The 23,844-nt window shown below is 40.4% G+C and overlaps 1 protein-coding gene across 1 annotated transcript; it reads left to right on the forward strand.

Moving 5' to 3' along the window:
• Positions 1–1,395: 1,395 nt before the first annotated feature.
• Positions 1,396–22,046, forward strand: C6orf163 (chromosome 6 open reading frame 163). Its single transcript, NM_001010868.3, has 5 exons — positions 1,396–1,830; positions 5,395–5,489; positions 6,977–7,084; positions 12,884–13,086; positions 21,544–22,046. The coding sequence occupies exons 1-5, from the start codon at positions 1,683–1,685 to the stop codon at positions 21,977–21,979; spliced, it is 990 nt and encodes a 329-aa protein (NP_001010868.2). The 5' UTR covers positions 1,396–1,682; the 3' UTR covers positions 21,980–22,046.
• Positions 22,047–23,844: the final 1,798 nt, after the last annotated feature.

The raw sequence follows: 23,844 nt of genomic DNA on the forward strand, positions 1-23,844 counted from the left end.
TTGTGGTACACTTAGCTCAGGGCCCTATGGGAGTCCTGTTGTTGAAATTAATTTCACTGATGGCACTCACTTATTATAAAATAGTCCTGCCAAGTAGATGCAGCATATGACATTGTCAGGCAATTTTATAAATTCAGTTACTTGGTACAATCAGTTGCACAGATTTTTGCGATAGGTGGAATTTCTATGGCTGTTTATCTAAAATTATAGGAACAAATTAGTTAACCATGTGATTTTTAAAACCAGGCTTAGTAATTTTGAATGCTGCCTTAATGAAAGTAATTTCTTCTTCAAGATACCATGATATTTCCCAGTTTTATTACCATGGCACCAACACATCATGTTTATTAAAAACCTAAAAGAAATTAAGCTACCTCCATTGCTGGCCTTAAAAGAAATTAATTCTTTAAAAACTAATTTAAAACAAAGTGTGGTAGGCTGACTAATGCTCTCCTTCCCTGCAAAAATGTCCAGATCCTAATCTCTGGAACCTGTAAATATGGGACTTTACGGATATGGGTAAGTTTAGGATTTTGAGATGGGGAGATTATCCTGGATTATCTAGATGGGGCTGGTATAATCACCAAGGTCTTTAAAGCACGGCAGAAGATCAGAGGAAGAGACAATGTCACTATGGAAGCACTGGGGGAAAAGGCTATATGATGCAAGGCCATGACCCCAAGGAATATGGATGGCCTTTAGAAGCTGGAAAAGGCAAGCAAACACATTCTCCTCTGAAGCCTGCAGAAGGAACCAGCCCTTCTAACAACTTGATTTTAGCCCCTAAGACTCATTTTAGACTTCTGATCTCCAGAAATGCAAGAGGATAAATTTGTGTTACATTTAAACTATGAAGTTTGTGTAGTTTGTCACAGTGGTGCTATGGTTTGAATATTTGTCCCCTGCAAAACTCATGTTGAACTTTAATCCCCAACGTGGTAGTATTGAGAAGTGGGGCCTTTAAGGGGTGAGTGAATTCATTCATGGGTTAAGGGATTGATGGATTATCATGGGAGGAGAACTGGTGGTTTTATAAGAAGAGGAAGAGAGGCCTGAGCTAGCATGTGAGCTCAGCCCCTGGCCATGTCATACCCTATACCACCTCAGGAATCTTCAGTGAGTTCCCACCACCAAGAAGATTCTTACCTGATGCAACTCCTCCACCTTGGACTTCTCAGCCTCCATAAACTGTAAGAAATAATTTCATTTTCTTTATAAGCTATCCAGTTTCAGGTATTCTATTATAAGCAACAGAAAACAGAGTAAGACAGCAGCAATAGGAAACTAATATAGAAAGTATCAGGAAAATGAATGGCTGTATCATGCTCCCTTTTGTCATTATTTGAAGTTGCTTTTATGAGCAAAGCTTGTCTTACCTAGCAACAGTTGCCAAGTAAGTTAACAACTTAATGCTAGAGTCTGGGAAGGAGCAACTACTTAAATCTTCCCAAATCTGGTGCCCATACCTTCTATGGCAGGGGCTTTTAGCACCATTCTTTAACGTTAGACACATAACCACAGCCTAATCACTTGAACCATTTAATCCTTACCAGCCTCTAGCATTATCCTAAAACCCTGAACCTCTTCCAGCTTTCTTAAACTTTCAGCTTTTCTTGAAACGACTTTTTCTGATTCTAAGATTATTTTAACTGTAAGTAGGAGAAGACATCTGAAATTTAACTATGATCAGAAATTCAGATTACAAAAACTTTGTTTGCTGTGCTGTTTGTAATAAAATAATTCCACCAGCCCCTTTTGGAAAAACCTTCAAACGGATCCATGAATACAAGCCACTTAAGACACGCTTTTACACTCACAAAGACATACTAGGTAAGTGACTTTATCGTTTTCCTTTGTTCTAATGCTTCATAGCCTTATGTGTCATTCTTTCTGTTACATAGACTTTTATCAGCTTTTTTCTCTTCAGAGTTGCTTGTCCCTACAGGGATATTTGAGGAGAATATGGGTTGGAATACAGCTTCTCCACTTACAGTTGTATGTATTGGGCAGGGTATTTAGCCTCTCAATCTGTTTCCTTATGTGGAAATAAATATACTAATACCTATCTTACAGGTTGTTATGAGACTTTAATGAAGTATTTGTATCTATTATAAATCCTGGCACATAATAGTAAATGTGAGTTCATTTTGCCCTTGGCCATACTTGAGCACCTTTCAGTATGTGTAGGAGAGGAAATATTATCTCTAAATAACACCCTAATTGGATGGGCACAGTGGCTCACACCTGTAATCCCAGCACTTTGGGTGGTCGAGGTGGGCAGATCACTTGAGGCCAAGAGTTCAAGACCAGCCTGGCCAACATGGCGAAACCCCGTCTCTACTAAAAAAATTTAAGCAGGCATGGTGGCATGCGCCTGTAATCCCAGCTACTCGGGAGGCTGAGGTAAGAAAATTGCTTGAACCCAGGAGGTGGAGGTTGCAGTGAGCTGAGATCGTGCTACTGCACTCTAGCCTGGGTGACAGAGCGAGACTCTGCCTCAAAAAAAAAAAAAAAAAAAAAAAATTTTAAAGTACCCTAATAAATGGGTAAAAGAAACTATATAACCTTTAAATAGTAGCTGGTAGCATAAAAGTAGATACATATAGATAACATGAGGACGTTTACTGTACATACGTATGTATATATAATAAGCAAATCAAATTGTACTATAGGTTTCCATCTCTCTTTTATCCCCGTAAGAGTTTTCAGTCTGACCTTGAGCCTTGTAGGTATTTTCCTAAGAACTCTCACAATACTTCTCTGATCCTCTCTTCCTTTAAAATGGTAAACTAAGGGTGATTTCATTTCACTCCTGATATTTGAAAATATAAGAAGCTGGAGAGCAGAGGTGTTTGGAAAAAAAAACTAAAATGTAGGGGGAGATCAAATTGGAATCATCTTCTAAAAACATCAATTCCAAAATTGTTTCTTAGCATTTAGTAAGTGCTTAGTATGAATGATTCATTATGATCTCTAAAGTGACTTTTCATACCCAGGACAGTGTATCTCCATTCTTAGATATACCTTAATGATTGATTCCTTATGCCTTATGGAATATCTAACCCAAACCTTAAGTGGATAAGTTAAATCTATTGTTAGAAATTAATCTTTTCTATTCAGTGACCTTTGTCATTGAACTGTTTTAAGTTAAAAAAGAAAGAAAGTTGAAATTGTCTGTTCTTTATAAGCATTTTGAAATGTCCGTAGAAGAGCTAGTGAGTATTTCATAGGACGATAGTTCTCAATCCTGGCAGTGCACTATATAGAACTTTGAAAAAAAATATTAATACAGATATCCAAACACAGACCCACTGGATTTAATACTAATCTAACACAGAGCCACTAAATTAGGACCTCTACGGTCAGGACTAAGCATGTGTATTTTTTCCTTCACGTTTAAATAACCTTTTTTATTTCAAGATAGTTTAAGACTCACAAGTTGCAAAATAGATCAGAGTTCCCCTGTACCCTTCATCCAGCTTCCATTGATATCTTACATAATCCTGGCACTTTGTCAAAGCTGGAACACTGGCATTGAAACAATACTATTAACTCAGGTACAGACCTTATGTACACTTTTTTCCCCCGGCATAGAGTTTTATGAAATTTATCATGTGTGTATATTAATGTGCCATCACCACAATCACAACATGGAGCTGTTCCATCACCACAAAGGAACTCCCTCGTGTTACCCCTTAGCTGTCACTCTCTTCTCCCCAAACTTGAACCCCTGACAACCACTAATCTGTTCTCTATCACTATAATTTTATCACTGAGAATGCTATCTAAAGAATCATAGATTATGTAACCCATTGAGATTGGCTTTCTTCACTCAGCACAATGCCCTTGAGATTCATCCAAGTTGTTTATCAATAGTTTGTTCCTTTTACAGTATGTGCATTTTTAAAAAAAGCTTTGCAGGGATCCTGTTGTACAATCAGGGTTGAGAACAACTAATAAAACCAATGGGATTTAAACATAAAAGAGGATAGTGATAGCCTACACTTGTATCACATTTTTATGAAGTTCAATACGTTGATGGTCCATGCTTAGTCACATTTTGTCCTAGAAAATCTTTTCTAATTATTTCTACACAATGTTGGGCTTTTGCAGTATGTGTCCATCTCCACCGTAATATATGCTGCCCTGTGTTTTTAAGATTCGCTGATGAACTAGTAGGAGACTCTGTGCCGCCAAACATATACTTTTAATTGCTAGTGACAGAAACATAACTCAGAATAGACTGCATGAAATGGAATTTCTTGACTCTTTTAACAGAGAAACCCAAGGGAAATCTGGCATCAAGGCTTTCAATCTGTCCATGCTTACCCTTTTAGTGAGTTGGCTTAATGGTTTACTGCTGCAGCTAGACTTACTCCGGCAGCTGGGAAAGGAGGAATGTGGATCCAGATAGCTCTAAGAATCTATTACCTTCAGCTTAGAAATCCCAGAGGAAGACCAGGCATGGTGGCTCACGCCTGTAATCCTAGCACTTTGGGAGGCCGAAGTGGGCAGATCACTTGAGGTCAAGAGTTCGAGACCAGCCTGACCAACATGGTGAAAGCCCGTTTCTACTAAAAATACAAAAATTAGTCAGGCATGGTGGTGGGCGCCTGTAATTCCAGCTACTCGGGAGGCTGAGGCAGGAGAATCACTTGAAACGGGAGGCGGAGGTTGCAGTGAGCCGAAATGGCGACACTGCACTGCAGGCTGGGCTACAAAGCAAGACTCCCTCTCAAAAAAAAAGAGAAATCCCAGTGGAAAAAGACCTGGCTGTCTGATATTGCGTGGTCCTCTAGCCTCTCTAGACTTTTATTACCTTGTCTGGGTAGAGAGGATATTATTATGGGAATGTTATTATTTGGAAATCAAATTAGATCATTGACAGAAAAATAGTAAACTTCTACCCCTTAGCTCACTCCATACTGAAGCAGTTAAACCCACAAAGAACCACATGCTAAAGAAAGGCATGTAATGTGAAGGCATTCCACTTCCCTTCTCCTGATGCTAGCCCTAGCACCCAAATAGGAACAGGGAGAGAGAGAGCTGTATAATGTGCTAAGACCTCTTGAATATTCACTCATCATTCTACTTTGGGTGTACAAAATATGTCCCTTTCTTCGGGCATTTATTTCACCTCCCCAGTTGTCTGCTGTGTGGACTGGGTGTGATGAGGGGAATGACCAACTCTATCCAGGCCTGACAGTGCTGTGAATTCCCTCCTAATCAGAGAAAATCTTACTCTTTCAATGGGTATCTTTGAAATATATATACTGGCATCTCCTAAAAGGACGTGTCTCCTAAATAGCCCTCATAAATAACTAGATAATGGTGGAAAGGAAAGCCAGGAAGCAGTCGGTGGAGGTTTGTGACCATTGCTCTTCAAATACACAGATATTGGGGCAAATATTCTGAAAAAAGAAGAGCAGTTTCAAGAAGATATACTCAGAGAACACATTGCGAAAGCAGAAGCTGAAGTATGGGCTCAGGTAAAAGAAGTTACATGTCAACCTAAAGTCCATCTTTACCGTTCTTTCACATTTTGGATTTGTCTGAAACAATTGTATAGTGTAGTAGTCAGAACTGACTGAATCCTGGCTAGCTGTGGGACATTGGGCAAGTTCTACAACCTCTGTAGTCTTGGTTTCTTCATTGTAAAAAAGTAATAATAGTACCCATTCTGTGGGATAGTTGGGAGGGTTCAGTGAAATAATATGCCTGGCACACAGTAGGTGCTTAGTAAGAAGCCGGCATCATCAGGAGCTTCCTTCCTTCTCAGCTGCCCTCTCTGTAGGGAGGACTCCTGCTCCCTTTATTTTGATTTGATTGAAACCAAAACTAAAAAGAAAAAAAAATGTCTAAGAAAACTCCTTGTTGATAGTTGTTTCTTATGGCCTAACATTTAATATATAGACCATCCATTTGTGGAGCATGTAACACTCCTGTTTCCTCAAATGCTTCATTATGGCCTACTCCCCTTTTCCTCCCCTCTCTCCCAAATCCTTGATACCTCGTCGATATGACTGCTGAGCACTATAAGGGCAATTTGAATATTGGGGCTCACAGTGGGATCCAAGGCATCAAACTGAAGCAAAGCCTCAGTCCTGTAGCCCTACTTCTTCCAATCATAGAATGACATCAATAACTTCCCGTAAAAGAATTACAGCTCCTTGAGAGCAGAACCACAGTGCTTAGAAAAATGTTTGTCAGTTTCTTTATAAAATAGACATTATAGCAAATAGTATTAGCATTGCTCAGTATTCATGCCAGCAAAAGCTTGCTATGAAAATATTTTGAACATACATAATGCTCCAGTTCTTTATGAATACTCCAGTTCTGTATACCCCAGATTTTGATTTATCTCAAAATCTTTGTAGTCATCTATTTTTATTAGTGGTAAAATTCAAACTGATTGTGAACCATCAATTATACACCCTAATACAAGGTGATGCGTTTGTAAATAGTCTACAATTTGAATGTAAGTTGGTCTAATGTTCTGTGTATTCTTTTCAAATAGAGTTAAAGTTCTTTCTGAAGACTGAATGTGGGGGACCTGGATGGTACTCTGCCTCTTTACTCAGCTCCTTCTAGCTTTGTGCGTCTTTTCATTTCACTGTGTTTTCCAGATTTTCCACAATGCACATATGTTACTTTGAGAGTCAATCAAGCAAGAAATAAAGTGCCAAAGAGAAAAGGCAACCCAGCAGCCTACATACAGTAAAGCTGCCTTGCCTTTAGCGATTCCAAAAACAGCAAGGCTAGCTCTGGATTGGGATGCATTAGAGCATCTCTGGCTAAGGCAGACAGTTTGCTATGGGAGGTTTGAGATGGGAATGGGGCAAGAAATTAGGGACTCCATGGTTGTTGCTAATTTTCAGTAAACTTGAAAACCTGATTTACCAACATCCTAAATAAGCCAAGTTTGCTTGTGCTTATTCTGATACATTAATAGATAAATGGACTCTTTCTTTCAAAGGCTAATGAACGTCAAAAACAAGCAGTGGAGAAAGCACTTGAAGAAGCAAATGACAGACACAAAATTGAAATTCAGATTTTGAAAGAGGAACATCAGAAAGATTTACAGGTTTTTATAGTGGCTTATTTGTTGTCTTTTAAAAGTAATTACATTAGTAAAAAGAAAAGTTGGCAAGGGAATGAGAAAAAAATAATAAGGAAATCTAGACTGGTGTTTCATGGCCATTAGCTGGGATCCCCTGGGAGGTTCTCAGAAGAGATGCTGAGCTCTCTAGAGCAGTGATGAATAAGTGAAGAAGAACCCCATAGCTTACTTCCCAAGGGAAGCTTTGCCTGACCAACCTTGCCTTGCCACCCACACACTGTCCATGACACCCTGATCTTTTTCATAGCAGTCTTCACCATTGTAATTAAATAAATGATTGTGTGGTTAGTTGTTGAGTGTCTGACTCCCCCACATGACTGCAGCTTTCAGCAGGGGTGTCTGTCTCATCACTGGACTAGCCCTGGTGCCCAGCACAATTCCCTGACTTAGTAGGTGCTCAAATAGTTGAACAAGTGAAGCAGGCTGTTCTCCTCCTTCTCTGATTGCATCCTTTTTTCTAAATTTTGCATTTACTGTACTGCTAAGAGGGACATCTGAGCTGTCCCTCAATAATTTAATGCAGGGCCAGATGTCACAGATGAAGGTTACTAACCTGTAGCCTGTTCAAGTACATGACTCTAGGTAACTTACAAACTTTCAGGTGGAGACCCTAGGATTCATTGTTAGTTCAGTACCTCGATTACAAAATCTGCTCAAAGGAAAATGTTACAGAACTATTTTCACATTTTGGTCAAGGGAGGGACAGGACAGGATAAGGTACAGGTATGACAATACACGGGCAGAAGCTGGAGGAAAGTGACAGAGGTCCGGACCCAGGTTTGGTCTAACTTAGGAACAGTAATGAGCAGTTCAGGGACTGCAGGCCAATTTATTCGTTGTTGCAACAATGAGCACCTACCGTATATTAGATCTGTACCGGGTGAGATAAAATCAACTGTCTTTACCCAGAGAGGACTTGCTGTCAGGAAGGGGAGCTCCTCCCCATGAGTCCTGAAGGCTAGTGGGATGCTCCCTGCTTCGCTCCAGTGGCCTACCTCAGCCAGGGTTGGTATGGTGTCTGAGGGGTTGGCTGTGGTGGCCCATTGCCCATTCCCCATTTCAGTTCAAAATGTGAAGAGCATTTATAGCATGTCTTAGGCAGGCCTGCTCTTCAGCTGCTATGTACAAGTATGGCCATACTGGCAATTAAAGTATTAAAGTACTTCTCTATCAGTTGATAAATAGTTACCCGCTAAGCCCTCTATCACCTTGGTCACCCTGGTTGCTTCCCCAGCAGACTCCTGGACCTCTCCCAATCCAGCAATTTAAAAGGATAACTCATGGCTTGGCAAGGGGCTCTAGTTCCCTGCTATAATGCTGCAGCCAGAGGCCATTCAGATAGGTGGGCCCTACTGTGCTGGTTGATACACATTTTGAATGTCCTTCCTGGCATTAGGTTGTAAAGACATAAGGAAGATGTGATTCCTGTTTCAAGGTTCACATGCTAGTCTTTCTTTAAATAATGTTATTGTACCCCACGCAGCCTTTGAGTGGAGTTGAGGTACTTAGTGCATCAGTAGAAAGAAGCCCTATTTAAAGGTAAATAGTTAAAGGGGGATCGACCTTCCTGAAATATTTGTCCGGGGGTTGAGAATTTACATTTATACCACCATTTCAGATATTTTTTACTTATGAAGGAATGATTTGTCTAAGAGTAGTGTGGGGTTATTTCAACCTGTTATATCTGTAGGATACCAAGATACAGACATCAGTACTACTTCTCAGGGCTTGTCGGTGAACCACTTGCATCAGAATCTATTCACTTGGGGTCCTGACATACAGATTCCTGGGCCTCATTCTGACCTACAGACTCCATCAGCATCCCAAGTGATTCTCACACATATTAAAGTTTGAGATTACCAATGTATAGCAGAAAACCAAGTTCCTCTAGAACCAAATATTAAATTTTGATGTGTCAAGACCACCAGGTATTACTCTTACGTGATGTTAAGAGTTTGGTGTGTCTCAAATGCATGCTGTTAGATAAAATTTCTAGATCTTGTTTGATGGATAGGTAATCTTTTGAAAAGGTGTTTATATTATTGAAAGACAATAATATCAAAAAGTAAATGAGAAGATGAAAGCTAAAGGAAAAATAAATGAAAAACTACAGTAGAAAATATAGTAAAGTCATAGGTAAATTTAAAACTTAAAAATGTATATATGCCATGATGTCCTGTGCAATTATCACTGATTGGGCCTTGAGCTTTCTGGCAGCCAATGCAAAGAGAGAAATGTTGTGACTCACCATGCCCATAAGGTACAGGCAAATTAGGCACTTGAGAGGCTCAGATATTCCTAGTTATGAAACCTCAGAGCAATATCTCCTGAGGGGGACATTATGTAAAAATGCCTGTCAAACATCTGTACAGTTAACATGATGGAGTCCATGAATCTATTTCTTACAATATCTCAAAACGTGGGGTGACTCACTCAAGATGCATTTCAGTAAAAGCAATTTATTTCAATGTAAGGTCTCCTTACATTAAATAAGAACATTGACAAACAGCAGGTTACTTAATAATTTTTGGAGCTTTAAATATGTATTCCACATGCTATGTGAGGCAGTAAATGAATTTTGGTTTTATTAAATCATTACATAAAAGAGGGACTGAGTTCAATTATCTGAATTCCTAGTTACTAATTAGGAATCAGATAATTTCTAATTATCTGAATACCTACTTCACAACCCAGCCAAAATAAAGGGCTGGAATGTCATTTTTAAATTCTATGATTCAATAATTTATTGTACATTTAAAAATGACTGAAAGAGTGTAATTGGATTGTTTGTAACACAAAGAAAGGATAAATTCTTGAGGTGAGGGATATTCCATTTACCCTTGTGTGATTATTACACATTGTATGCCTATATCAAAATACCTCATACACCACAAAAATTGAAAATTAAAAAAAAAAAACAAACACAATCACTTTGTGCCAAAAAAATTCAGGCATACAACGGTCTTACACCACCCTATTGACACTGGCTTTTTTTCCTTCTTCAATAGATGTTTGCAAGAGTTCCATTAAATACATTTCATTCTGAAAAAAAATATTGATTCATATAGGAATATATTATGGTAGTACTTCACCTGTCTTAAACTCAACCACCACCCAGCAGTCTGAATTACTGAGAATGTACTTGAAAACCCAGAAGTAAGTTAAAATATCCCCCTAAGGAGTTAAATAAAGGCCTCTGACTACAAGAGAATAACTCAGGCTTATTACACACAGCAGAACCTCTTCACCCCCACTCAGATGTCATTATGCTTATTTGGCAACCTAAACCCAACAGACTTAGATGCTTGATTTTTATTTTGTTTTCTTTTCTTTTGAAATGGAGTCTCTCTGTAGCCCACGCAGGAGTGCAGTGGTGTGATCTTGGCTCATTGCAACCTCTGCCTCCTGAGTTCAAGTGATTCTCCTGCCTCAGCCTCCCAAGTAGCTGGGATTACAAGTGTGCACCACCACACCCAGTTAATTTTGTATTTTTAATAGAGACAGGGTTTTGCCATGTTGGCCTGGCAGCCAGGCTGGTCTCGAACTCCTGGCCTCCAATCGTCTGCCCTCCTCAACCTCCCAAAGTGCTGGGATTATAGGCATGAGCCACCACACCCAGCAGGGTTGCTTGATTTTTCAATTTGGAAATAGATTAAATATTGGAAAGTAAAAATAACAAAAAGGGGCTCACTGATAGAAGCTACAGCAGCATCCTCAGCCTGATGGCAAGTAATTTTCTTGTTCTTTGAAGAAAAGAAAAAATTTGATTTGATACCTACAAAGAGCAAAGATTAAATTTCAAAAAGCAAAGTAATCTGGAGTCATTTATGACAGATACAAGGGGCTCCATGAACTTCAACAATTATTAAATGCCACATGAAGTTTTTGGTCCAGTACAATCATTCATCTTTGTCTACCAAGCCTGGATCATTAAGAAAGTGTTAGATTGTTTCAAAATGTTCTTTTTATGGTGTTAAAGACATTTAGAAACATTTCCATTCAAAATATTCTTTTGTCAAAAAAATTTTAGTGATTTAAGAGACAAAGCCTTCTGCAGTGTAGGAAACCCAGCTAGCATTTCTAAATGGCCAATGTTTTCCTAAAAAGATTTTCTAAATACATGAACTGAGGCCACTTGGAGAGATTCTTAAAGTTGATTTCTAGTGTCTGTTTCATTTTTTAACTTTTCACCCTTGAAGTAGCCAAAGTGAGAAGTTGAGAACTTTTTCTCATGAAAAAGCTGAAAGGTTTGTCTTAACAAATATTTTAATTGTTGAAATAATCTTCTAAGAAGCTGAAGCAATTTCAGTTTCCCTTATAATTTAGAGTTCTCTTGACTTTCTCTCAGCTTCAGCTGAGGATTCTCTCTGGACGCTGTAAACAGAGCTGGCTCTCTCAGGGGCTCCCATAGAAATGGTGCTAAAGGGAGTTGAGCAATCTTCAGCCAGGAGAACTCTTACTGGTTTTATTCCTTTCTATTCTGGGTAAGATTTCATTTAAAGAAGGGATTCTGCAGCTATTGAAAAAGAAAGAAAACCCAGTGTACTATATCTTACAAGACTGTACAATTGATGAATCTCTTGAAAGACTCCAGCATCACAGCCAGGAATGAAGTGAGAAACTGGCAGTCAGCAATCCTGGCTTCTATCCCTAGTTCTTCCATTGATGTGCTATATGAAATAACTTAATTTCTCTATGTTCTTTTGATGTCTTCCCAAATAGAGATAAACATTTACCTTTGGGCTGGGCACGGTGGCTCATGCCTGTAATTCCAGCACTTTGGGAGGTCAAGATGGGCAGATCACTTGAGCCCAGAAATTGAAGACAAGCCTGGGCAACATGGTGAAACCCTATTTTGACAAAAAATACAAAAATTAGCCAGGCATGGTGGCAAGTGTCTGTCGTCTCAGCTACATGGGAGGCTGAGGTGGGAGGACTGCCTGAGCCTGGGAGGTGGAGGCTGAAGTGAGCTGTGATTGTGCCATTGCCCCCCAGCCTGGGCAACAGAATGAGAACCTGTCTCAAAAAAAAACAATTACCTTTAAATGAAAGTTTTAAAATACCTGGACAGAATGAATTGCTCCTCCTCTTTATAATGTTATATTTCTACATATTGTTATATTTCTGTAACTGTATTGCACAGTTACGTTGTTGGCCTCCTTCACTAGACAGTGAATCCCTTGAGGACTAAGATCCCCACCTTCTTGTATATGTAGCTTCTGGGCCTCGGACTGCCAGGCACACTGTGGATTTCCAAAATGGTGACAGGGTTTTCCTTGAGCACAATTTGTGGCTCTGTTTTCCACAGGTCTTGGTTTGACTAGTGGTTCCTCTCCTTAGTTCCCTCCTACCCAGGAGACACGAGGCATAGTAATTATTTCTGCCATTTTCCAGGACTGGCTTACTAAAGCAGAATTGCATTATGTAATTATGTATAATGATAATATGATACTAGAATATTTAGACAATCAAGAAAAAAGACCTTTAACCCTACCCCTCTAACCCAACTATTTTCTTTTTTCCATATTCCCTTTCAATATTATCTACGTAGATATTTATGCTACATAGTTTGTACATTTTTGGTTCACCTAACATCATATAAATAAAAGTTTTCCATATCATACACACTCTTCTTTTAAATCATCAGTGTTAACAGGTACACTTGCTAGCAGATAGATAAAACTATGGTTTAAATAGCCTCCTAATGTGCAGTTTTAAACATTAAGTCTGTAATAGCTAAACCTAGTTTTGCCATTGCTTCAGGAAGTGACAGCTAAAACTAAGACAGAGATGTATCAAAACATGGATGACGAAATGAAGAGAGAGCACTTGGCTGCAGAACAGCGCATGGTCCACAGAATCCAAAGGATTATGATGGAATGCCACAGAGAGAAGGTCGAAGCTGTGGAGAAAGCCAGGGCTGAAGAAAGACACATCGCCCAGGAAGCAATCCAGGCCCAGAAAAGGTATTCCAGAGAACTCATTTACAAATTAGTAACTTCCTTTATCAAAATCAACCTGGAGAAACAGATAAGGTTACAGTACATAGGTAGATATTGCCCAGTTTTTGTGTTTTTACATTTTTATTATGGAAAATACCAAACATAGGGAACAATTTATATTGTAGAGTATGTGTGTGGTTTAAAGAAAAATAATAACATAAATACTCAAAAACCTACCACCCAGCTTAAGGGATTGAAAATTGCTGTTTTCTAAAGCTCTCGTGTGTTCTTCCTCAATCATATCTTCTTCTTGTCCCTGCTTGAAAGATAGCTACTCTCTAAATATGGTATTTTTCATTCTGTATCACCAGTTTTAAGAAGCCAAGGACAGGAATCAAGAAACAGTTTCCCATAAACACATCATTAAAATCAATCTTCACATTCTCTAGCCTAGATCATACACTATTGTGTTTGTGTTACTTTTTGGTCTTTTTCTTATTATGCAAGTAATATATGTTGCAAAAGAAGTTGACATTATGGAAATATATAGAGCAAAAATTGCAAGTCCTGATGCATTGCTTCCCCTACACCCTCCCTGCCTCCCAGAGACAGTTATTTTAAACAATAGAGTCTATATCCTTCCATGCCCTTTTGATGTGTTTACAGCCATATGTATGTGCATAATCACAGATCAGATCATACATATATATATTTTAAGAAAACCACGGTAACTATTTCTATATATGTAATGATTCTTTGCTGGAACAGGACAGCAGTTAGGAGCTCAGGGATTGTCAGGTGCAAGAGAAAAACCATAATTTCCAGATTTTTTTACCAGGTCATTTACCTGCCCATGATCACTGATTTGTAGCAGCAGAGCTGAGACTGAGACCTCCCTATTTGGCCTCCTAGTCTGTGACTGGTCCCTTTTGCTTTGCTGCTTGAGTTAACAAACAGATACATTTCTATATAATTAATGGGTAAAATCTTTTTCATTAGAACTCTTTAGAACAGGGACACAGGTAAGATCCTGGAGGAGGTACAGATAAATGAGAATGAGAGCTGCAGCTGTGACAGTTTAACTGGTACCTCTCTTCCTGCATAGACTGCAGGTCATTGTGGAGGTAGAAGAGGAAGATGAGAGGGGATACCAGGAGGGGGTTAGGGAATGAGTCATGGCCCAATGCACTGGAAGGTGGATCCTCTTTTCTTTTCTCTCCTGCCAGCCATCTGCAGGAGCTCTGTCTCACCTGTGGGAGCCTCTGGGTCCCCTCCTCACACACACTTGCGGTCTCCTCCCTCTCTTGCTAGATTGTTTTTGCGCCCCCTCCAGCCCTTTCCTCTGTGAGGTTTGATGGAAGGTTTTCAATGTCTGCCTTTTATTGAATCTGTAGACTAGGATTAAGGAACTGCCATGTGTACTGTTAAAATATATCCAGCTAGAATGCCCATTTTGTTTATTGATGTTTCCCAAGTGCCTGGAAGAAAGTCTGGCACATGGTAGGCATTCTTGAAATATTTATTGAACAAATGGTTTAAATTTCTTCCAATTAGTCGAAGCCACTCTTCAGCACACCAGATCTTATTTCTAGAAAGTACTAGATTCCTCTGTTCTTTAGAGAATTTGCAGAAACTAATATATGGAGAGAGACCACTGTTGAGAATTCTATGCAGATTTTTTATTTTACTATAAACTTTCATCAAGACTTAAGGATTCAGAACATTTATATATCATGAGAAATTTGTTAACTATACAGAAAACCGTTTTGTGGATTGAGGTGATTAGATTCTAAACAGATTGCCCAGGAGACACTGGACTCTTTCTCTTAAAGTTAAAAAAAAAAAAGTCCAGGGGCGGTGGTTCACGCCTGTAATCCCAGCATTTTGGGAGGCTAAGGCAGGCGGATCACGAGGTCAGGAGATCGAGACCATCCTGTCTAACAAGGTGAAACCCCGTCTCTACTAAAAATACAAAAAATTAGCCAGGCATGGTGGCGGGCGCCTGCAGTCTCAGCTACTCGGGAGACTGAGGCAGAAGAATGGCGTGAACCTGGGAGGCGGAGCTTGCAGTGAGCCGAGATCACGCCACTGCACTCCAGCCTGGGCGACAGAGCGAGACTTGTCTCAAAAAAAAAAAAAATCTGTTTGTAAAGGTTCTAATTGTTTTCTAGCCCAAGGCAAGGCATGAATGAAGTGACCACTCAGGATTTTTTGTGGTCATGGCTGTAATTCCTACTGACAGCTTCCCTTATTCAATTCCCAGCACATGCAAGGCCTTTTGTATACTCCCTGCATCTGGGTGTCCCTTCCTAGGAGATTGTATCATCCTACATATCTTCAGGCAAAGACCCTGGAGGGTTAAGGCCTTAAAGGGAAACTAAGCAAACTGCCAAAGGTCACAGAGGAAAGAGGTGACAGGGCCTGATTTGAACCCTGGCCTTTATGATGCCAAAGCTTATGACCTTCCATTATGCTACCTGCTTTACAGGTAGAGAAGCTATGTGAGTTTTCTAGAGGGTTTGTTCACTTCACCAGAGCTCATCAAGTACCTTCTGTGGATGTGGCACAAATTAAGAGCCCTTCCTCAACATTGTGTAAAATCACTAGAGCATGGCTGCCCCCAACAAGCAAGGCTGGATGGACTGGTACAAATAGCACATAGGTGCTGCAAGAGTTCAAAGTCCTGGAAAGATCAAGCAGTATGGGTGGGGTATGTAGTGAGGTAGGTTTTTTGGAGGAAGTTAGTCGTGGGTTGGGCCTTAGAGACAAGGTAAGAGGTCCCACTTGTGAGAGAGGCAAACGAATGAGAACCGAATGCGCAAAGCCATGGAAGGAGAAAGTATGATGTATAATGAGGCAGAGCCAAGGGGAGGTTCAAGAGTGTTAACAACCCGGGGATAGAAATGCACTGCTGAATGCTGGCATCTGGAGATGTCCCTCACCTGCGTAACTTCTGAAATGCCTGCAGTCTCCTGCCAGACCAGAGAGCCAGGGGTTCCCCATGTCCCAGGTGGAAAATCAGAACATAGGTTACTGGTAAACACAGTGGTTGTACCTGATTGAAATAGTACTAACAGTCCTATAGTTCTAATGAAAAGTAGATTAATAGCTTATTTACAGACTAACCAGGCAAAGGATCAATTGCTACTATGGACTTTCCGTAGTTTATTTTTTCCCTATTAGTTAAGATTGAGTTGTTAGATATCAGATTATGTTTTTATTTAGTAAGTTGTTTTCATTCTCCAAGAGTCTGTTTTATAAAATATCAGACTGAATCCTATAAATTTGGACACACACTACAACTATTTTGAAAATAGTTACTTTTCTGGCCAGTGCCACCCTGAAATACGGTGTGTATTTCAAAATTACAAGTGTACAGCCTCATAAAGATAGAGATGCCAGAAGAACCTCACTGCTCACAGAAAGCATAGACATTCACTTCACATCAGAATGGGCATTGGGGGTTATGGAGCTGGACGTGCCATTCCTTCTGCCAGATGCCAGCCAGTCATCGGTGAGCCTCCTTGATGTCACTGGTTGAGGTGGTTGGTCCAAATGCTGAACAACCTCTACTTGTCATGTTCTTCCTAATGTGGATCCAAAAACTCTGGGCCTTACCTTTACCCTTGGCTTCTGGCCCTGCTCCTCCTCTGTGCGTGGTGATCCTTCAAATGTTTGAGGAGAGAGATTATGTCCAAGATTTAATTTGAAGAAGGGAAGGAAAAACCAAAAAGTACTAATACCTAGTTCTTTCACAGTTCTTTCTCATATGATAAGCTTTCTAGGCCCTCTTTCGATAAAAAAAATACAGGTAGACTAATTTATGTACATTGAAAAACATTTTACACATATCCCAAGAATTGGCTATTTTCCTATGGCAAATATTTCGCTTATGTTAAGAATCCTTTTTAAGCATGAATTTTTTTTTTTTTTTTTTGAGAGAGTCTTGCTTTGTTGCCTAGGCTGGAGTGCAGTGATGCGATTTCTGCTCACTGCAGCCTCCACCTTCCAGGTTCAAGCAATTTTCCTGCCTCAGCCTCCCAGGTAGCTGGGATTGCAGGTACTCACTCACCACCATGCCCAGCTAATTTTTGTATTTTTAGTAGAGATGGGGCTTCTCCATGTTGGCCAAGCTGGTCTTGAACTCCTGACTTCAAGTGATCCACTTGCTTCTGCCTCCCAAAGTGCTGGGATTACAGGCGTGAGCCACCATGCCCAGCCTCATTAATTCTTTTAAGCTTTTGTAATGTTCCAATATAGCTGCTTTAAACTTGTAGTGTTATTCAGCACAACATGTATTAGAGAGAGTTTCGTCTGTATTACCCACTTATTCATTCATACATTTATTGATTGCCTGTTGTATACACAACGGGCACCACACTAGGCAGGGGAGATACAAAGATAAATGGTCATTGCAGGTCACACCCTCGACGCACTGCACCCCACCCCACTCCTGGCTTCAATTCCACAACTTCAGGGAACTCATCAGAATGAAAGGATCAAATATTCAAGCACTAAGGCAGGCTGGGAAAAGTGGGGCTAGGCGCAGTGGCTCATGCTTGTAATCCCAGCACTTTGGGAGGCTGAGGTAGGAGGATCACTTGAGTCCAGCCTGGCCAACATGGCAAAACCCTGTCTCTACAAAAAATACAAAAATTAGCTGGGCATGGTCGCACATGCCTGTAGTCTCAGCTATTCCGGAGGCTGAGGTGGGAGGATTGCTTGAGCCCAGGAGGCAGAGTTTGCATGAGCCAAGATGGTGCTGCTGCACTCCAGCCTGGGCAACAGAGTGGGACCCTGTTTAAAACCAAAAAAAAAAGAAGAAAGAAAAGTTGGAAAGATTTTTTAAAGTACCAGATTCTGTTAGCAGTAAGAGATTTTGATATCAGGGAGTCTGAAAGGGACTGTCATTGAGGGTGGGAGCTGGCGTCATCCAAGATATACATTATTGGATCACTTTTGCCTGACTCAATTCTGGTAGAGCCTTCCAGTTAGCCCATAAATGAAACCTCCCATTTGGGTGAGAGGAAAGTCAGCCCCACCTGGCAGGAAACTCATGCCTGCTTATGTCAGAGGACACAGGGAGCACAGCTTCCTCCTTGGAGATTGGTCCCTGGTCATCACCCTGACAATCTCATCAACAGCCTGAGGATGTTATCAGACATCAGACTAAATCCTTAGAATGTGTGTCGATGCACACTGCCCACTCTATACACAGCATCACTTCTATTAATGGAACCTCCATTCTCCTGTGACCCGGGTTGAAAATCAGCAAGTTGGTTTTGATTCCTCTTTTTCCCACTTCTCCCATATGCTTGCAGTCACAGATTCTGGCAGCTATGACTTTTTAATATTTCCTAGGCTTAACCCATTCTCTCCCTCTTCCCAACCCTCTCTTTTGTCATTAGTTCAGACCCTCATCATTGCACCTCAAGGATATTATGAAATGATACAATTGGTCTCTCTAGCTCACCCCACTAAGATTCAGTTCACTCACTGTTACCTGAATAACAAGTCTAAAATGTTATTTTTACTGTGCTACCCTCCTGACGAAAAATGTATAGTGCCCACTCATGAGCTTGAAGCAGGTAATGATTAAGGGCAGGAACTCCCCAGCGTGCTCAGTTGTGTGACATTGAACAACAACTCACTCTTCTCTAAGCCTCCATTTCTCACCTGTTACAAGGGAATAGTCACAGGTTATAAGTAAAAATAGGTCAGGCACGGTGGCTCACACCTGTAATCCCAGCAATTTGGGAGACCAAGGCGGGTGGATCACTTAACGTTAGGAGTTCAAGACCAGCCTGGCCAACATAGTGAAACCCTGCCTCTACTAAAAATACAAAAATTAGCCATGTGTGGGGGTGCACACTTGTAATCCCAGATACTTGGGAGGCTGAGGTAGAAGGATCACTTGAACCTGGGAGGCGGAGGTTGCAGTGAGCCAAGATGGTGCCACTGCACTCCAGCCTGGACAACAGAGCAAGATTCATCTGTAAATAAGTAAATAAAGTATCAGCTTCAATGGGTTATTGTGAAAATTAAATGAGATATCGTGCATGTAAAATGCTCACCACAGTTCCTGCAATACAGTAAGTACTCAATAATCATTACCCCTGTTATTAATATTGGAAATAGCTTAGTTGGTGGGAAAAGGAAGAAGAGAAATAGTATAGTGGCTACGGAGGCTAAAGAAAGATGTGATTTACTTCAAGACTAGGGAAGTCTGTCAGGTTTGAAAGTCAAGTGGAAAGACTCAGAGAAGATGAGAGAATTGCATCTTGGAGGATGGAATTTAGGAGATAGGGCCAGTGGTAAATCTTGGAAAGCCTGTATTAGACTGGGAGGCAGAGGGGGAGGATTTTTATTAACAGCCATACATTTGAGATCTTAAAACCTCAAATCTTTGAGGTTCTGCTCAAACTATGTTAACTGCAGAAATCCACTGGAAATGTATCACAGTGGCTAAGAGCTTTTGCCCTGGTCTCAGACTGCCTGAGTTGTGTTGCAGATTTTGCCTCTTTAACTTATTAAACAAACTTAGTCCAATTACTTAACCTCCCTGAGCTCAATGTCTTCTTCATAAAAAGAGCACAGTAATGGAACCACACTACAGAATTGTTTTTGAGGATTCATTGAATTAATGTATGCATAGAATGCTCATTAACCTGCTTGGACATGGTAAGAGGTCAACATGGTTGGCTGCTATGAATTTTATATAATACCCTACATTATAGCCAGAAGTATATTAATCATTTAGCAGTGCTTCTGAATATGTGGTCCAGAGACCCTTCAAGGTCCCTGAGACTCTTTAAAGAGGCAGTCCATGACATTAAAACTATTTTCTTTTTTTTTTTCCAAATTTTTTAAAAAATTATTATTATACTTAAAGTTTTAGGGTACATGTGCACAATGTGCAGGTTTGTTACATATGTATACATGTGCCATGCTGGTGTGCTGCACCCATTAACTCGTCATTTAGCATTAGGTATATCTCCTAAAGCTATCCCTCCCCGCTCCCCCCACCCCACAACAGTCCCCAGAGTGTGATGTTCCCCTTCCTGTGTCCATGTGTTCTCATTGTTCAGTTCCTACCTATGAGTGAGAATATGCAGTGTTTGGTTTTTTGTTCTTGCAATAGTTTACTGAGAATGATGATTTGCAATTTCATCCATGTCCCTACAAAGGACATGAACTCATCATTTTTTATGGCTGCATAGTATTCCATGGTGTATATGTGCCACATTTTCTTAATCCAGTCTATCATTGTTGGACATTTGGGTTGGTTCCAAGTCTTTGCTATTGTGAATAGTGCCGCAATAAACATACGTGTGCATGTGTCTTTATAGCAGCATAACACTAAGACTTTATTTGCCTTTTTCACTCTTAGTCTCCTATGAATATAAAATGGTGTTCTCCAGGGGTTTTGTGATGTGTGATATCACAATAAATTGAAACAGTATGAAAATTCAGCTTTTTGCTAATAAGCCAGAGATTAAAGAGTTGTGCAAAAAAAAAATTAGGCTGGGTACAGTGGCTTATACCTGTAATCCCAGCACTTTGGGAGGCCAGGGCGGGTGGATCACTTGAGGTCAGGAGTTTGAGATCAGCTTGGCCAACATGGTAAAATCCCATCTCTACTAAAAAATACAAAAATTAGCTGGGTGTAGTCGTGCACACCTGTAATCCCAGCTACTCTGGAGGCTGAGGCATGTGAATCACTTGAACCTGGGAGCTGGAGGTTGCAGTAAGCCAGGGCCAGGCCATTGCACTCTAGCCTGGGTGACGGCAAGACACTGTCTCAAAAAAAAAGTTAAATTATACCATTCTTCTCATGAAATATTTCATTGTTTGGGAAAATGTTTTTCATAAGAGATTTTTAATATTTTAAAAATGTCTCCCTTTTAGTTTATATAACTGTTAATGTCAATGCCTATAACTCATATAAACAAAAGCTCTTTGGCTTCCTCGATAATTTTGAGACTGTAAAGAGCTCCCGAGACCAAAAAGCTTGAGGTGACTGTCATAGAGTATTGCTCAGATAAAATCAAGATTAAAGCTAAATCTATCCTGTGAGTATAAGGATTTTTCATCTCTGGCTAAAGGTCAGCAGCTGGATTAATATAAAGAAATACTTTCTCTACAGAGTTTGGAACTCTGACCCTTATCTCCTCATTTTTAAGCACAATGCATGTATATTTTCCTGAAAAAGGTGATCTCAGGTTCCTAAAGTTGCCGTTAGAAGTTAGACTAGTGGCCTCACCCTAGCCCACAGCAGGGAAGTACATAGGAAGCCTCCCTGCTCTGAAAATGTGTTTTGTTTGATAACAGCTAATGCAATCCAAAAGCTCATCCGTATCAGCCTGTCTCAGGCTGGTGGCTCATCTCAACAATTGCTCATTCATCTGCGTTTAAAGATGAAATTATTTTGTTTTTAGTGGCCAATCCATCTAAATTATAAATCCATATTATCTTTTGTAGCAAAGCCGTGGAGGAAATTGTGAATACTGGTGTCACAGTTATTAAGGATGAGAAGACCAGTGTGGCCCGACTGATGAGGGAAAAAGAACATGAAATGAGCATCCTCTATGGCATAGCTCAGAGGCAGAGGCAAGAAGAGGTACAGGAAGTGCTTCAAGAAGCAGAGAAAACACATCAGGCCACTCTTGGCAATATGATGGATAAACTGGCTAACACCCAGGGGGAGCTGCTGTCTATAGCAAAACAACTGGGAATCATGACAAATTGGAAAGATTTCCTAGAGGAGGAATTACAGGAAACCAGGATGGCATTTCAAAAATACATCAATTATACCTTTCCTAAGCTTTCACCAGGACATGCAGATTTTATTCTGCCAGAAAGAAAGAAAACACCTTCTAATCTTGTTATTAAGGAGAACAAAACAACTCTTGATTAGAAGTCTTCAGTTGAAATTCCACTACAAAAGACATCATTCCAGACTAAATAAATTTACTCAAAAACCATGTATTGATTCCCCAGCCTTGTGCAGGGTACTATTGGGCTATAAGAATTTTCATGGAAAACCAAAATATTAAAAAGCACATTCCAGATTATATTGAGCCAAGTCTGAGAAGAAAAAATAGTGAGAGGTAGCAAACTGATTAAGAGGGGAAAGGTTTCTTGGATGAAGCCTAAACACACTTCTGTATCTGTCTTTATTCATTTCTACATCAGACATATAATTAATTATTTCAGCATTTATTGCCATAGAAAACAAGTAAAGGAAAGTGTTCTTAGGTTGTTCCTGTTTTGGGCAGGTGTGCTAAGTTCCAGTAGACAGTTTATCATTTGGTGAATGCAGTAGCATTGTGAATTTAAAAAAGCAATTTCTCTCAAATTCAGTAGGATAAAATTTAAATTCTGGGACTCCCATATAAAGTAATTCAGGAAGGACTTGCTACCCACACAACAAGCAGGTTCAGTCACTTGGTGGGTGTCAACTCAATGACCACAACCAAAGAAGATTTAGCAAGGGGATTTTATTACTTATAAGGAGTAAGGAGAACACCAGGGATAGTCCCCAAAGCAGTGTCTGCCTGAGCTGGGGGCTGGGTCAGGTTTTATAAACATAGGGTAATGAGGCATGATCTGACTGGGTCTTGCAATGAGGGGATGTCAGGAGGCATGATCTAACTGGATCCTGCCATGGGGTGATGCCAAAGCTCAATCCAGTTGGATTCTGGATCCTGCCATGCAGTGTCCACTTCTTAATTCAGTTCCCACTCCTGAGTCAGAGCAATCAGGTTCCCTCTGTGGTTGAACACTTGGTCCATCTGGGCATGCTCAGATTACATGACCTGAGGGTCCATGGCAACTGAAAAACACTGTACTACTTTGTTACGTGAAAGTTGGGCCACATGGGTCTGGTATGGCTACAGACTCATCTATATTTGCCAGTTGTAAAAGAAAAAAAGATGGGAGATATTTCTCAAATCCACCTCTCTGAGAACTCAGAGGGTAGGGTTTTTAAAGGATAATTTGACAGGCAGGGGGCTGGGGAATGGGTGCTACTGATTGGTTGGAGATGAAATCACAGGAGTGTTGGAACTGTCTTCGCATGCCGAGTCAGCTTCTGGGTGGGAGTTACAGGACCAGTTGATTTATTTCCTTGGTATGAGTCATGGGTCCAAGTGGTGTCAGTTCATCAGGATGCAAACATCTGAAAAATATCTCAAAGAACAATCTTAGGTTTTACAATAGTGATGTTATCTGTAGGAACAATTGGGAAAGTTACAACTCTTGTGACCTCTGGCGACATGACTCCTGAGTAGTAAGCAAGCTAGGGAACATGGCTGGTTATCACTGAACTATGCATAGGTCTTAGCAGAATTCAAGCTCCTCCCATAATTCTAACCTTTTGGCCTTTCATTCATTTTACAAAGGTGGTTTTAGTCCCTGAACTAGGAGGAGGGTAGTTTTGGGAAGGGGCTGTTATCTTCTTCGCTTTAATGTTAAACAATAAATTCCTCCCATGGTTAGCTTGGCCTGCACTCAGGAATGAGCAAGGGCAATAAGCTTGTGAGGTTAGAAGCAAGATGGAGTCTGCTATGTTAGATTTCTCTCACTGTCATAAGTTTTGCAAAAGTGGTTTCAGAACCCTAATCCTTCCAGCAAACATGGGCAGGGAGCCAAGAATGATGGGGAGCAGAACTGGACGCCCTTCTCTGAACATACTGGATGTACTCTCCTGATGTCAAGCCCCACGGGTGAATGTGTGGAGGGGTACACTCTGTAGCTCCCTCCCACCATCCTAATGTCAGG

Source organism: Homo sapiens, chromosome 6 (genome assembly GCF_000001405.40).
Source record: "Homo sapiens chromosome 6, GRCh38.p14 Primary Assembly".
Classification (NCBI taxonomy): domain Eukaryota; kingdom Metazoa; phylum Chordata; class Mammalia; order Primates; family Hominidae; genus Homo; species Homo sapiens.

Bases quoted from the DNA above. Each gene is read 5' to 3' on its own strand.
- C6orf163 (NM_001010868.3), top strand. From the start codon at position 1,683: ATGATCAGAAATTCAGATTACAAAAACTTTGTTTGCTGTGCTGTTTGT. The intron at 1,831-5,394 runs GTAAGTGACTTT...TCAAATACACAG, and splicing joins CACTCACAAAGACATACTAG to ATATTGGGGCAAATATTCTG. The intron at 13,087-21,543 runs GTATTCCAGAGA...TATCTTTTGTAG, and splicing joins GCAATCCAGGCCCAGAAAAG to CAAAGCCGTGGAGGAAATTG.